Source organism: Homo sapiens, chromosome 7 (assembly GCF_000001405.40).
Source record: "Homo sapiens chromosome 7, GRCh38.p14 Primary Assembly".
Lineage (NCBI taxonomy): Eukaryota > Metazoa > Chordata > Mammalia > Primates > Hominidae > Homo > Homo sapiens.
The window spans coordinates 76,002,779-76,017,436 of NC_000007.14; the positions used below are offsets into that span (position 1 = coordinate 76,002,779).

The 14,658-nt window shown below is 47.5% G+C and overlaps 1 protein-coding gene across 14 annotated transcripts in view, besides 1 other annotated feature; it reads right to left on the minus strand.

Annotated features, from left to right (window-relative positions):
- STYXL1 (serine/threonine/tyrosine interacting like 1) overlaps nt 1-14,658 on the minus strand; it is a 51,664-nt gene that overhangs the window by 6,442 nt on the left and 30,564 nt on the right. For 9 of the 14 annotated variants that reach the window (NR_134487.1, XM_011516293.4, XM_047420466.1 and 6 more), the window contains 3 exons: nt 10,964-11,109; nt 2,481-2,626; nt 980-1,077 (listed from right to left, as the gene is read on the minus strand). Coding sequence is in view for 12 of the 14 variants with exons in the window: in XM_011516293.4 (XP_011514595.1) it covers nt 980-1,077; nt 2,481-2,626; nt 10,964-11,109 (390 nt within the window). In the remaining 2 variants the exon portion in view is untranslated. The remainder of the gene's footprint in view (nt 1-979; nt 1,078-2,480; nt 2,627-10,963; nt 11,110-14,658) is intronic. The other 5 variants (NR_134486.2, XM_047420470.1, NM_001317789.1 and 2 more) reach the window with 1 other exon arrangement.
- Nucleotides 5,708-5,887: an enhancer, noted in NCBI's record as "active region_26188". NCBI's record gives its function as "activates an Ori minimal core promoter by ATAC-STARR-seq in GM12878 lymphoblastoid cells {active_cell/tissue: GM12878}" and the evidence as "EXISTENCE:reporter gene assay evidence [ECO:0000049][PMID:35858748]".

Sequence of the window (14,658 nt, forward strand, 5' to 3'; positions counted from 1 at the left end):
TTGGACGTGGTGGTGCATGCCTGTAGTCCCAGCTACTTGGGAGGCTGAGGTAGGAGGATTGCTTGAGCCCAGGAAGTAGAGATTGCAGTGAGCCAAGATTGTGCCACTACACTCCAGCCTGGGTGAACAAGCCAGACCCCGTCTCGAAAAATAAAATTTAAAATAAGGGATGGTTGGGCCAAAATGCCATGCTCCAGCCCCTGGTACAGTGGCTCAGGCCAGGAGCTGTTGGTGCCAGACAGGCAGGCATGGGGTGGGGACTCTGACCTGACTCAGCCCTGCTCTCTCTACAGATCTTACTCTCCTCTGGCAATCTGGAGCCCCAGGAATGAGTAAAAAATCCACTCTTGATGAGTTAAGTAACTGGTGGGCATCACTTGGGTGTGGTGGCTCATGCCTATAATCCCAGCACCTTGAGAGGCTGAGGTAGGAAGATCGCTTGAGGCCAGGAGTTCAAGACCTGCCTAGGCAACATAGCAAGACCCCAACTCCACCAACCAACCAACAAACAAAAACAAAGAAAATCTTGGAAGTCAGAACTGAAAGAGCTTTGTAGTCTTCCTTCCATTCCACCGACATCCCACAGACCAAGGATGAAGGCGGGGATGGAGAGAGATAGATTTACTACTGGTCCCCAGAGCTCAGCCCAGAGCCTCCATGAGCATGTGCACTTGTGGGTAGCCATCACTCTCATTTTACAACAAGCCCAGAAGGGCACAGCCATCTAGCCAGGGCCAGAGCCTTGGGCCCCACTGCCCCCGAGGTAAACACCACGGTTGCTCGTTTCACTGAGGGCTCCCCAGAAGTTGGACGTGTCCTGGAGCTTGTCCCACCCAGATGGAGCATATGCCGAGCTGGGCCCTTTCTCTCTAGAGCATGGGGAAATCACGGTCCAGAATAAGCCTGTGAAGGAGGCTCCACTGCCCCTCTGCTTCCCAGACACAGGCCAGTTGCTACCCGGCCAAGGAACGCTCCTTACCAATGAAGTGACACATGTGGCGTAAGAAGGGAAGAATCTGGGCTTCCGGGGAATCTTCTATCCGGATGTGCAGAAGCTTGTCAGCATCGCCTGCAAAACTACACGGAAGGACCACACAGGTCATCAGGTGGAATGCAGAATGCAGGCATCCCCATTGTGGGGTTTTCATCACAGCAGAAGGGCCACAGGGAGGACGCTGAGCTTGTGTAAGGGGGAATGTGCACAGGTAACTCAACCTCTCCTGGAAAAAAACATCCAGGCTGGGTGTGGTGGCTCATGAATAAGCCCAGTAATTTGGGAAACAGAGATGGGAGGATCACATAGCGAGACCCTTGTCTTTTTTTTTGTTTGTTTGAGACAGATTCCCGCTCTGTTGCCCAGGCTGGAGTGCAGTGGCACGATCTCGGCTCACTGCAACCTCTACCTCCCAGGTTCAAGCGATTCTCCTGCTTCAGCCTCCCAAGTAGCTGGGATTACAGGCATGTGCCACCACAACCGGCTAATGTTTATATTTTTAGTAGAGATGGGGTTTCACCATTTTGGCCAGGCTGGTCATCAAACTCCCAACCTCAGCTTATGTACCCGCCTTGGCCTCTCAAAGTGCTGGGATTACAGGTGTGAGCCACCACACCCAGCCAAAAAAATTTTTTTAAGTACCTATCTTGGCCAAGCATGGTGGCTCACACCTGTAAACCCAGCACTTTGGGAGGCCAAGGCAGGCAGATCACTTGAGGTCAGGAGTTCGAGACCAGCCCAGGCAACATTTTGAAACCCTGTCTCTACTAAAAACTACAAAAATTAGCCGGGTATGATGGCACACACCTTTAGTCCCAGCTACTGGGGAGGCTGAGGCAGGAGAATCACTTAACCCTGGAGGCGGAGGTTGCAGTGAGCCAAGATTGTGCCACTGCACTCCAGCCTGGGTGACAGAGCAAGACCCCATCTCAAAAAATAATAAAATAGGCCAGGCGCGGTGGCTCATGCCTGTAATCCCAGCACTTTGGGAGGCCAAGGCGGGATGATCACAAGGTCAGGTGATCGAGACCATCCTGGCTAACACGGTGAAACCCCATCTCTACTAAAAATACAAAAAACTAGCTGGGCGTGGTGGCGGGCGCCTGTAGTCCCAGCTACTGGGGAGGCTGAGGCAGGAGAATGGCGTGAACCCAGGAGGCGGAGCTTGCAGTGAGCCGAGATTGTGCCACTGCACTCCAGTCTGGGTGACAGAGTGAGACTCCGTCTCAAAAAATAATAATAATAAAATAAAAACTAAAGGGAAGGGATAGCATTAGGAGATATACCTAATGCTAAATGACGAGTTAATGGGTGCAGCACACCAACATGGCACATGTATACATATGTAACAAACCTGCCCATTGTGCACATGTACCCTAAAACGTAAAGTGTAATAATAATAAAATTAAAAAAAATAAATAAAATAAATTTAAATATTATATAAAAAATAAAATGAAATATAAATCAGTAGTTTCTCTTTACTTACAAGGGCCCTGTATCCATGGAGACATTGACATGGGCTTTGATTTTCAAGTCCTTCTGAATCTTGGGGTCACAGGCTTGACTGAAATTGCCAACGAAGACCTTCCCTGGCACGATTTCAATGGGGTATGGCTGAAATGCATCCAGTTCCTGAAGTGTGGAGGGAGAAAGGCAGCTATGAGCATATTCCTCAGGGAAGAGGGATGTCTATCTCTTGAAACACAGCTCAGCAAACGAGCGTAAAAGGGCAGTTCCAGGACAGTGAATGTGACGGAGATCCAGACTTTGAAAGAGATTGGCACACGGTAACTTGCATGGGGTGGCACAGGGCGAGTCATGACGAAAGGACTGAGCCTCATCGTGCAGAGCGCTGGGTCTCAGCACTGGTGTCCATTCCCTCCGTGGCAACTGTTTACACTTGGCCAGGTGCACAAAGGTTGCAGTGAGGACGCTGTGGCCCAGAACTGTAACAACCCAGCATGTACTGGGGGCTCAGGAGGATGGAGAGGGACAGCTCTCTTAAGACCACCAGAATTTAAGCATCGAGAGAGAGAGAGAAGGAGGAGGAGGAGGAAGAGAGAGGAGGAGGAAGAGAGAGGAGGAGAGAGGAGGAAGAGAGAGGAGGAGAGAGGAGGAGGAGGAGGAGAGAGGAGGAGGAGGAGGAGGAGGGAGGAGGTGGAGGAGGAGAGAGGAGGTTTCATCATGTTGGCCAGGCTGGTCTTGAACTCCTGACCTCAAGTAATCCACCTGCCTCGGCTGCCCAAAGTGCTAGGATTACAGGCGTGAGCCACTGTGCTCAACCCATCTTTTTCTTTTCTTTTCTTTTTTTAAAGATACAGGGTCTCTCACTCTGTCACCCAGGCTGGAGTGCAAGTGGCTCAATCATAGCTCGCTGCAGTCTTATCTTCCTGGGCTCAAATGCTTCTCCTACCTCAGCCTCCCAGGTAGCTGGGACTACAGGTGCGCATGACCATACTCAGCTAATTTTGATACTTTTATCTTTTGTAGAGATGGGGTCTCACTATGTTGCCCAAGCTGTCCTCGAACTCCTGGCCTGTAGTGATCCTCCTGCCTCAGCCTCCCAAAGTGTTGGGATACACATGTGAGCCACCCTGCATGCCCAGAAATGAAGCCAGTGTATGTGCAGAGGGGTAGAGAGAACAAGACACCTACTTAAATGGGAGCTTCCTGAGTTCCAGGTCCAAAGTTATCATTAAAACTTTCGTTTGCCGGGCGCAGTGGCTCAAGCCTGTAATCCCAGCACTTTGGGAGGCTGAGGTGGGCGGATCACGAGGTCAGGAGATCGAGACCATCCTGGCTAACACGGTGAAACCTCGTCTCTTCTAAAAAATACAAAAAATTAGCCGGGCATGGTGGCGGGCACCTGTAATCCCAGCTACTTGGGAGGCTGAGGCAGGAGAATGGCATGAACCTGGGAGGCGGAGCTTGCAGTGAGCTGAGATTGTGCCACTGCACTCCAGCCTGGGCGACAGAATGAGACTCCGTCTCAAAAAAAAAAAAAAAAAAACAAAACAACAACAACAACAACAAAAAACTTTCGTTTATTTGAAACACAGACAAGGATTATCTCTACATTTCCCAAAGTGTGTTCTAAGAAACACTAGTCCCCCATAAGGCACTATGAGAAAAGGGTTCAGGGGTTCAGATAACCAAATGCAATCTGTGTGTTCCACATCCATATATTCAAGCAACCTTGGATGAAAAATATCCAGAAAAATAATTCATGGTTGCATCTGTACAGAACATGTACAGACTTTTTTTCTTGTCATTATTCCCTAAACGATACAGTATAACAATTATTTACATAGCATGTACATTGTATTAGGTATTATAAATAATCTAGAGATGATTTAAAGTATACACAAGAGGGGCCAGGTGAGGTGGCTCACATCTGTAACCCCATCACTTTGGGAGGCCGAGGCAGGCGCATCACCTGAGGTGAGGAGCTTGAGACCAACCTGGCCAACGAGTGAAACCCCATCTCCACGAAAAACACAAAAATTAGCCAGGCATGATGGTGCATGCCTGTAGTCCCAGCTACTCGGGAGGCTGAGGCAGGAGAATCACTTGATCCTGGGACGTGGAGGTTGCAGTGAGATGAGATCATGCCACTGCACCCCAGCCTGGCAACAGAGTGAGACTCTGTCTCAAATAAATAAAGTATACGAGACGATACGCTTAGGTTAGACGCAAATACTACACCATCTTGTATCAGGGAGTTGAAGATCCAAGGATTTGGTATCTATTGGGGGCCCTGGAACCAACCTCCATGGATACTGGACAACTGTACAAACGGACAGCTGTATCTATGATTCCTCTCTCGGAAACAACACGTACATTAGCAATCAAAGGTTCAAAGAAGTTGGGCACAGTGGCTGCTCATGCCTGTGATATCAGCACTTTGGGAGGCCAAGGTGGGAGGATCGCTTGAACCCAGGAGTTCAAGACCAGCCTGGGTAACACAGCAAGACCCTTGTCTCTACAAAAAATAAAAAATTCGCCAGGCATGGTGGCACATGGCTGTACTCCCGGCTACTCAGGAGGCTGAAGTGGGAGGATCCCACAGGAGTTTGAGGTTACAGAGAGTTATGACCGCATCACTGCACTCCAGCCTGTCTCTCAAAAAAAAAAAAAAAAAAATAGCCGGGCACAGTGCCTCATGCTTATAATCCCAGCACTTTGGGAGGCTGAGGTGGGTGGATCACTTGAGGTCAGGAGTTTGAGACCAGCCTGACCAACATGGTGAAACCCTGTCTCTACTAAAAATACAAAAATTAGCCAGGTGTGACAGTGCACGCCTGTAATCCCAGCTACTCGGGAGGCTGGGGCAGGAGAATCACTTGAACCCAGGAGGTGGAGCCTGCAGTGAGCCAAGATTGTGCCATTGCACTCCAGCCCGGGCAACAAGAGCAAAACTCCATCTCAAAAAAAAAAAAAAAAAAAAAAAAAAAAAAATCTCAAAGAAGCTCTGCAGTAGAGAAATCCACTCCAACTGGATAACTTGATGTTTCCATGAGGCTCTGATTAGAGACCACTTTCTCCATTATTACACCACAGAAAATGCTGACCTTTGCCAAAGATCAAAATCAGTTCCAAAAGTCCCCTGGCTCTAAGTCTGACTCAGAAATAACATTTTAAGGACCTCAGGCGTGTGGGTCCTTCAGAGCCACCTGAACTCAGCACATCTCACTCCCTTCCCCACGGCAGTGAACCCTCTGCAAGCCCACATCCTTCCCAAGCTACCAGCTTCGAAAGCCATTAGTAAAGAACAGACACCAAGCTGAGCCAGTTCTCCAGCCTGTGACACGGAGATGCATGACCCCCCACTGCCTGCGGGCAGGCCCAATTTACTCCAGCATGTGGGCTGCCCCTAACCCGGATGGACGCTCAGCTTGCTGGTGCCAAATGAAATCCCCCTTTCAATTTCCACTTAAAAATCTCGCTAAAAGGCCAGGCATGGTGGCTGATGCTTGTAATCCCAGCACTTTGGGAAGCTGAGGCAGGTGGATCACCTGAGGTCAGGAGTTCAAGACCAGCCTGGCCAACATAGTGAAACCCCATCTCTACTAAAAATATAAAAATTAGGCGTGGTGGCACACGCCTGTAATCTCAGCTACTCTGGAGGCTGAGGCAGGAGAATCACTTGAACCCAGGAGGTGGAGGTTGCAGTAAGCCCAGATTGTACCACTGTACTCCAGCCTGGGCAACAGAGATGCTATCTCAAAAAAAAACCAAAACAAAACAAAACAAAAAAAACCCCACAAAAATCCCATAGCAAATCTATCAACCCCTCTTCCTGCTGTTTTTAAACCAGCTTCCTTTTCTGCGGTTGTGTGGGTTTGGCTGGGAAGAGGGTGTGATGTGGATAAAAACACACTGTACTGTAGAATGTGTGTAAATGCTCAGTGACACAATGCAAACGAAACCAGTATCTCAAATGAATATGCCCGAACTGGGCACACTGCCTTCCCCCAAAACCACCTCCTTCTTCCCCCACCCCGCCCCCTCCCGAGTGTTCCCCAGAATGAACCACATCACAGCCCCCGTCACCCACGCCTAAAACCAGGGCATCATCCCAGCCCCCTCTCTCTCCTATGCCCTCATGTCTGATCGGTGCTACCTCCTAAATCTTTCTTTCTTCTTTTTTCTTTTTTGAGATGGAGTCTCACTCTGTCACCCAGGCTGGAGTGCAGTGGTGTGACTCAGCTCACTGCAACCTCCGCCTCCCGGGTTCAATTGATTTTCCTGCCTCAGCCTCCTGAGTAACTGGGATTACAGGCATGTGCCACCACACCCAGCTAATTTTTGTATTTTTAGTAGAGATGGGGTTTCACCATGTTGGCCAGAATGGTCTTGATCTCTTGACCTCGTGATCCGCCCGCCTTGGCCTCCCAAAATGCTGGGATTACAGGCGTGAGCCTCCAAGCCCAGCCTTTTAAAAAAATTTTTGTGTAAACAAGGTCTTACTATGTTGCCCAGGCTAGTCTCAAACTCCTGGACTCAAGTGATCCTTCCACCTCCTCTTTGACCTCCCAAAGTGCTAGGATTCCAAGCTTAAGCCACCACAGCTGGCCAGTCACCTACATTCTAAAGACAGCTGCAAACAAGTAACCCAATCCAACCCTCACAGCTACCCTAGCCACAACCCTGCGCCTTCTTCCCAATGTGACTAGACTAGGAGCAAAGGCAAGTTTCAGGAATATGCAACTGTCAAAACGGACCATACCGGGCCTTTTAAATATGTGCAGTTCATCATGTCAATTACACCTTACTAAAGCTTCAGAAATGAGGAGGTGGCAGTGATGAGTTATCAGCAGCGTAGGGTTTGCAGAGAAGAAATTAATCTCTCTGCACCCTGCAAAGCCAGGGTGCTCCTCCAAGAGCAAGGAGGAGCAAGGAGGAGTTCCAATCAAGATAAGACTTGATTCAGATTTGAGGCTGGAACATTAAACTGCCCTGGCTTATACTAGACTGATTGTCTTTACTTCCTTTATTTAACTGACTGTACACCTGTTGAGCTGAAATTCACAGTGCTGTTATCTCAGTGGAAGAAAGGGATGTCTTTGGGAGCCAGGCATGCATACCCTGGATCTGGGAACATGTCTGACCTCAGGCATGAGTCCCTGCCTTCTACGATTCCGGTGAAGGAATGTGGGCATGCGGGGCAGGGGACGGGTCATGGGCTTCCAAGTTAAGGGGAGGAAGTTGGAGGAGATGCCTGGCAGGGGTTGAAGGGAGTCACCACTGGCTGCGTTCTCTGGGAGATCCTCAGCCCCAGAAGGAGCCAGGGTGAGGCTGAGCTGGGTCCCGAGAAACCCAGCAGCAGAGGCTACCAGCAGCTCACACAGCCAGACGGGGCCAGAGAGCAGGCACTTTCCCACCACTAACACGCAGCCAGGCACACAGACAGGTCCACTCTGGGCCCTACTGCCAAAGGTACTCTGCCCAGAAGAGGGGAAGAGAGCAGCTGTCCTTAAAGCTAACCCCCATCCCTCCCTACTTTGAGTGCCCCCAGCAAACCCTAGGCTGCCCAGCTCTAGGGCATGGGAAGAGATGAGACTTGATTCAGATTTGAGGTTGGAACATTAAACCGCCCTAGCTTCTACTAGACTGTCTTTTTACTTCCTTTAACATTATTTCAAAACTATACACTAGTTGGCCAGGTGTGGTGGTTCATGCCTATAATTCCAGTACTTTGAGAGGCCAAGGCAGGAGGATTGCTTAAGGTCAGGAGTTTTGGACCAGCCTGGGGAACATAGCAAGACCCTGTATCTGCAAAAAATTTTAAAACTTAGCTGACTGTGGTGGCATGCATCTGTAGTCCCACCTACTCAAGAGGCTGAGGCTGGAGGATACCAAGCCCAGGAGGTGGAGGCTGCAGTGAGCTATGATTGCACCACTGCACTCCAGCCTGGGCAACAGAGTGAGACCCTGTCTCTAAAACGTATATATCGCCCAACTTCAAACATTAACAACTCATTGGCCAATTTTGTTTCCTCTATACCCTCACTGCCTTCTCACCTCACCCCAGATTATTTGAAAGGAAATTCCAGACATCACGTCATTTCACCCGTAAATATTTTGTTCTGTATTTCTAAAAGATAAGGACTTGTACTTTATAATAACCATAACAATGTCACTACAACCTTCGAAAAGCAACAATTCCTAAACACAGTCAAACATCCTGTGAATAGTCACATTTGCCCAGTCATTCTATACTATGATTTCGATTGAAGTTTTTTGTAACCAAAAGTGGCCAGAAAGTATGGAATCTGCTCACGATGTTGCTAAGGGCAGGAAGGGGAACACAGCTGAAGGCAACTGTTAGAAAAAGTTAAAACCACTTTCTGTTTACATTCCATTGTGTTCAGACGCTTCAATAAGCCAGACATCTGTACACGGCACTCTCCAGGGACCAGGCCCTGCCTGCAAATCTCTGCATAGTCTGGTGCTAGCCTTAGACAACTCCACCCAGTTCTCTTCCTCGAAATCTCCTCCTCCGTCAGATTTGGCTCTGGGAAGCTCAAGTGCCCCTTCTCTGGGCTCCAGATACCCGGGGCGTCCCTTGACACAGTCCAGCTTCCAGCCACTGCCTCCCCTACAGACAGGACCAGTCATCAGCAGAAACTGGAATCTCAAAATTGTTTTGTTTTGACAAAACTGACCATGAGTTGACAATGTTTGGAGCTAGGTGATGGACAAAGGGGTTTAATATCTGATTCTCTTTTTGTATTAAAAAATAGGCTGAGTGCAGTGGCTCACGCCTCTAATCCCAGCACTTTGGGAGGCTGAGGCAGGTGGATCACTTGAGGTCAGGAGCTGGAGACCAGCCTGACCAACATGGTGAAACCCTGTCTCTACTAAAAAAGAATTATAATAGAGATGGGGGTCTCACTATACTGCCCAGGCTGGTCTTGAACTCCTGAGATCAAGCAATCCTCCTGCCTTGGCCTCCCAGAGTGCTAAAACTACAGGTGTGAGTCGCCACACCTGGCTGATTTTCTTTTTGTTTTTTTTGGAGACAGGGTCTTGCTTCGTCAACCAGGCTGGAGTACAGTGGCATGGCAACGGCTCACTGCAGCCTCGACCTCCTGGGCTCAAGCAATCCACCCATCTCTTTTCTAAATTATTTTTTTGAGCCAGGGTCTCACTCTGTCACACAGGCTGGAGTGCAGTGGTGTGATCTCGGCTCCCTGCAACCTCCTCCTCCTGGGTTCAAGTAATTCTCCTGCCTCACCCTCCTGAGTAACTGGGACTACAAGACAGGTGGGCCACTATGCCCGGTGAATTTCTGTATTTTTGGTAGTCAGGGTTTTGCCATGTTGCTTAGGCTGGGCTCAAACTCCTGAGCTCAAGTGATCCATCCAGCTTGGCCTCCAAAAGTGCTGGGATTATAGGCGTGAGCCACCACAGCCAGCTCCATTTATTGATTTTTTTGTAGAGACAAGGTCTCACTATATTGCTCAGGCCGGTCTCAAAGTACTGAGCTAAAGCAATCCTCCTGCCTTGGCCTCCCCAAGTGCTAGGCTTATAGGCGTGAGCCACCGTGCCTGACCAATCCTTCCCACTTTTGTGTATTTTTGTATCCTCTGGATCCAGCTAGGATTTGTGGAATCAGACAGCCAAGAAAAAAGAGGTGGTCTCGAGCCGCCATGCCCCTGCCTTTCTGACCTTGGTATCGGTCCACCATCCAGCCTGCCCTCTGAATGGGTCCACCTTTGCTCACTGTTTCAACCCGACAGCCATCAGTTCCTTATAAAGAACTGTGGCCGGGCAGGATGGCTCACGCCTGTGATCCCAGCACTTTGGAAAGCCGAGGCAGGTGGATCACTTGAGGTCAGGAGATCGAGACCATCCTGGCTAACAGGGTGAAACCCTGTCTCTACTAAAAATACAAAAAATTAGCCGGGCGTGCTGGTGGGCGCCTGTAGTCCCACCTACTTGGGAGGCCGAGGCAGGAGAATGGCGTGAACCTGGGAGGCAGAGCTTGCAGTGAGCCAAGATGGCACCACTGCACTCCAGCCTGGGCGACAGAGCGAGACTCCGTCTCAAAAAAAAAAAAAAAAAAGTGGAGGAGATGGGGGAGACTGGGCTGCAGACATGAACTTAGGGCTGCCAGGAGTCCAGATCTAGTTTTTTTTTTGTTTGTTTTTGTTTTTGTTTTTGTTTGAGACAGTCTTACTCTGTCATCCAGGCTGGAGTACAGTGGCATGATCTTGGCTCACTGCAACCTCTGCCTCCTGGGTTCAAGCAATTCTTCTGCCTCAGCTTCCCTAGTAGCTACGACTATGGGCACGCACCACCACGCCCAGCTAATTTTTGTGTTTTTAGTATAGACAGAATCTCCTCCACTTTCTCTATATCCTCTGTCCCATCCTCCTGTTTCTCCCACTCAGTCACCCACAAGTCAGTTTCTAGGCCCATCCTTCCCGTCTGGGCCTGCCTGTGCTCAGCATTTGGCCCTACCTGAGGCATCCAGATGATCTTCTGGGTCCGGAGAAAGTGGTACGTGCCTGAGAAGCGCTCATAGCCCCCTTTCAGGATGTAGACGGGGTGGTGGGTGAGGCGGGTCAGGATCCTGCCATACTCAATGGCTGCTTGAGGCACAAGATCTGAGAGTGGAGACCAAAGACATGAATGTCTCCTGTGTATCTGCCATTGGTCTAGAGCTGGGATAGATGACCACTTTCTTCTGAAATGCAATTATTTTATTTATTTTCTGAGACAGAGTCTCACTCTGTCGCCCAGGCTGGAGTGCAGTGGTGCGATCTCGGCTCACTGCAACCTCTGCCTCCTGGGTTCAAGCGATTCTCCTGCCTCAGCCTCCCAAGTAGCTGGGACTACAGGCGCCCACCATGCCTGGCTAATTTTTTATTTTTAGTATAGACAGGGTTTCACCATGTTTGCCAGCCTGGTTTTGAACTCCTCAGCTCAGGTGATCCTTCAGCCTCGGCCTCCCAAAGTGCTGAGATTACAGGCGTGAGCCACCATGCCCGGCTTGAAATGCAATTATTTAGGAAGCTGAAGCAAGTATAGAGATGCATCATATTAAAATTTTAAAAGTAGCTTACCACCGGGTTTTTTTTGTTTTTGTTTTTGAGACTGGGCTTCACTCCATCTGGCTGGAGTGCAGTGGTACAATCTCGGCTCACTGCAACCTCCAGCTCCTGGGCTCACACCATCCTCCCACCTCAGCCTCCCGAGTAGCTGGGACTATAGGTGCGCACCACCACACCTGGCTAAATTTTGTATTGTTTTGTAGAGACAGTGTCTCACTTTTTTGCCCAGGCTTGTCTTGAACTCCTGAGCTCAAGCAATCTACCTGCCTCAGCCTCCCAGAGTGCTGAGATTACAGGTGTGCTCAGCCTAAGTTAATCTTCTTTTCTGCAAACTCTGAGATATATGTATTGTATGATGTCATACAATACATATATCTCAGAGTTTACAGAAACTGCCAGCTCGTTAACCACTCATATGCATACATATGGTTTACATATTATATACATGTATATATTATATTTATACCACATATATATGTCAACTGTATGTTGTGTATCACACAATTCACCCATTTAAAGTGTGCAATTCAAAACATATAGACCAATGGAACAAAATAGATAACCCAGAAATAAAGCCACACACCTATAACCATCTGATCTTCAACAAAGTTGACAAAAATAAGCAATGGAGGCTGGGGATGGTGGTTTACATCTATAATCCCAGAACCTTGGGAGGCAGAGGCAGGAGAATTGCCTGAGCCCAGGAGTTTGAGACCAACCTAGGCAACATGGAAAGACCCCGCCTCCACAAATAAAATTCAAAAAATTAGTTGAGTGTGGTGGCGGGCACCTGCAGTTCCAGCTACTAGAGAGGCTGAGGCAGGAGGATCACCTGAGCCAGGGAGGTTGAGGCTGTAGTGAGCAATGGTCGTGCCACTGCACTACAGCCTTGGAGACAGAACAAGACCTTGTCTCAAAGAACAGGAAAGGGGAAAGGACTCCCACTTATTGGTCAATAAATGGTACTAAGATAACTGGCTATCCATATGCAGAAGAATGAAACTGGACCCCTATCACCATATACAAAAATCAACTCAAGATAGATTAAAGACTTAAATGTAACACCTGAAAACTATAGAAATCCTAGAAGAAAATCTAGGGAATACCCTTCTTGACATTGGCCTTGGCAAATAATTTTTGGCTAAGTCCTCCAAAGCAATTGCAACAAAACAAAAATTGACAAGTGGGACCTAAGGACACGAAAGTGCTTCTGCACAGCAAGAAAAACTACCAGAGTAAACAAACAGCCTGCAGAATGGGAGAAAGTATCCACAAGCTATGCATCCAACAAAGATCCAATATCCAAAATCTATAAGGAACTGAAATCAAGAAGCAAAAACCAAACAACCTCTGATGGTTAATACTGAGTGTCAACTTGATTGGGTTGAAGGATGCAAAGTACTGATCCTGGGCGTGTCTGTGAGGGTGTTGCCAAAGGAGATTAACATTTGAGTCAGTGGACTGGGAGAGGCAGACCCACCCTCAATCTGAGTGGGCACCATCTAATCAGCTGCCAGTACAGCTACAACATAAAGCAACCAGAAATACATGAAAACACTAGACTGGCCTAGCCTCCCAGCCTACATCTTTCTCCCTTGCTGGATGCTTCCTGTCCTCAAACATTGGACTCCAAGTTCTTCAGCTTTGGGACTCACACTGGCTTCCTTGCTCCTCAGCTTGCAGACAGCCTATTGTGGGACCTTGTGATCACACGAGTTAATACTCCTTAACAAACTCCCATATATATAGATACACATGTATCTACATATACACGCATATATATACACACACATATATCTATACATATGTACATGTATAGATATAAGTATATACATATGTACATTTATAGATATATGTATATCTATACATATGTACATGTATAGGGATACATATATATAATTATGTGTGTATAGATATACGTATATCTATATGTATGTGTGTATATATGTATATCTATACATACATGTGTATATATACACGTATATCTATACATATGTGTGTATATATACACGTATATCTATACGTATGTGTGCACATATATAGCGTATATACGTATGTGTGTATATATACGTATATCTATACGTATACACATATATACATATATACGCATATATACACATATATACATATATACGCATATATATACACGTATATATATAAAAACACACACACATATATATATCTCCTATTAGTTCTGTCCCTCTAGAGAACTCTAATACACAACTCTATTAAAAAGTGGGCAAAGGACATAAACAGACACTTTTCAAAAGACATACAAGCAGCCAACGAACGTGAAAAAATGCTTGACATCACTAATCATCAGAGAAATGCAAATCAAAACCACAATGAGATAACCTTCTCACATCAGTCAGAATGGCTTTTATTAGAAAGCCAAAAAATAATAGATGTTGACAGGGCTATGGAGAAAAGGAACACTTACATACTGTTGGTGGGAATGTAAAGTAGTTCAGCCCCTGTGGAAAGGAGTTTGAGATTTGTCAAGGAACCAAAAATAGAACTACCATTCAACCCAGCAATCCCATTACTATGTACACATCCAAAAGAAAATATATTGTTACACCAAAAGGATACCTGCACCCATATGTTCACTGCAGCACTACTGACAACAGCAAAGACATAGAATCAACTCAAGGGCCCATCAACAACGGATTGTATTTATTTATTTATTTATTTAATTTTTTTTTAGATGGAGTCTCGCTCTTGTCGCCCAGGCTGGAGTGCAATGGCACGATCTCGGCGCACTGCAACCTCCACCTCCCTGGGTTCAATCAATTCTCCTGCCTCAGCCTCTCGAGTAGCTAGGATTACAGGCATGCACCACCATGCCCAGCTAATTTTTGTATTTTTAGTAGAGACGGGGTTTCACTATGTTAGCCAGGCTGGTCTCAAACTGCTGACCTCAAGTGATCCACCCGCCTTGGCCCCCCAAAGTGCTAGGATTACAGGCATGAGCCACCGTGCCCGGCCCCAGATTGGATTTTTTAAATGTGGTTAACATATACCACAGAATACTACACAGCTATAAAAAAAGAACAAAATCATGTCCTCTGCAGCACCATGGATGGAGCTGGAGGCCATCAT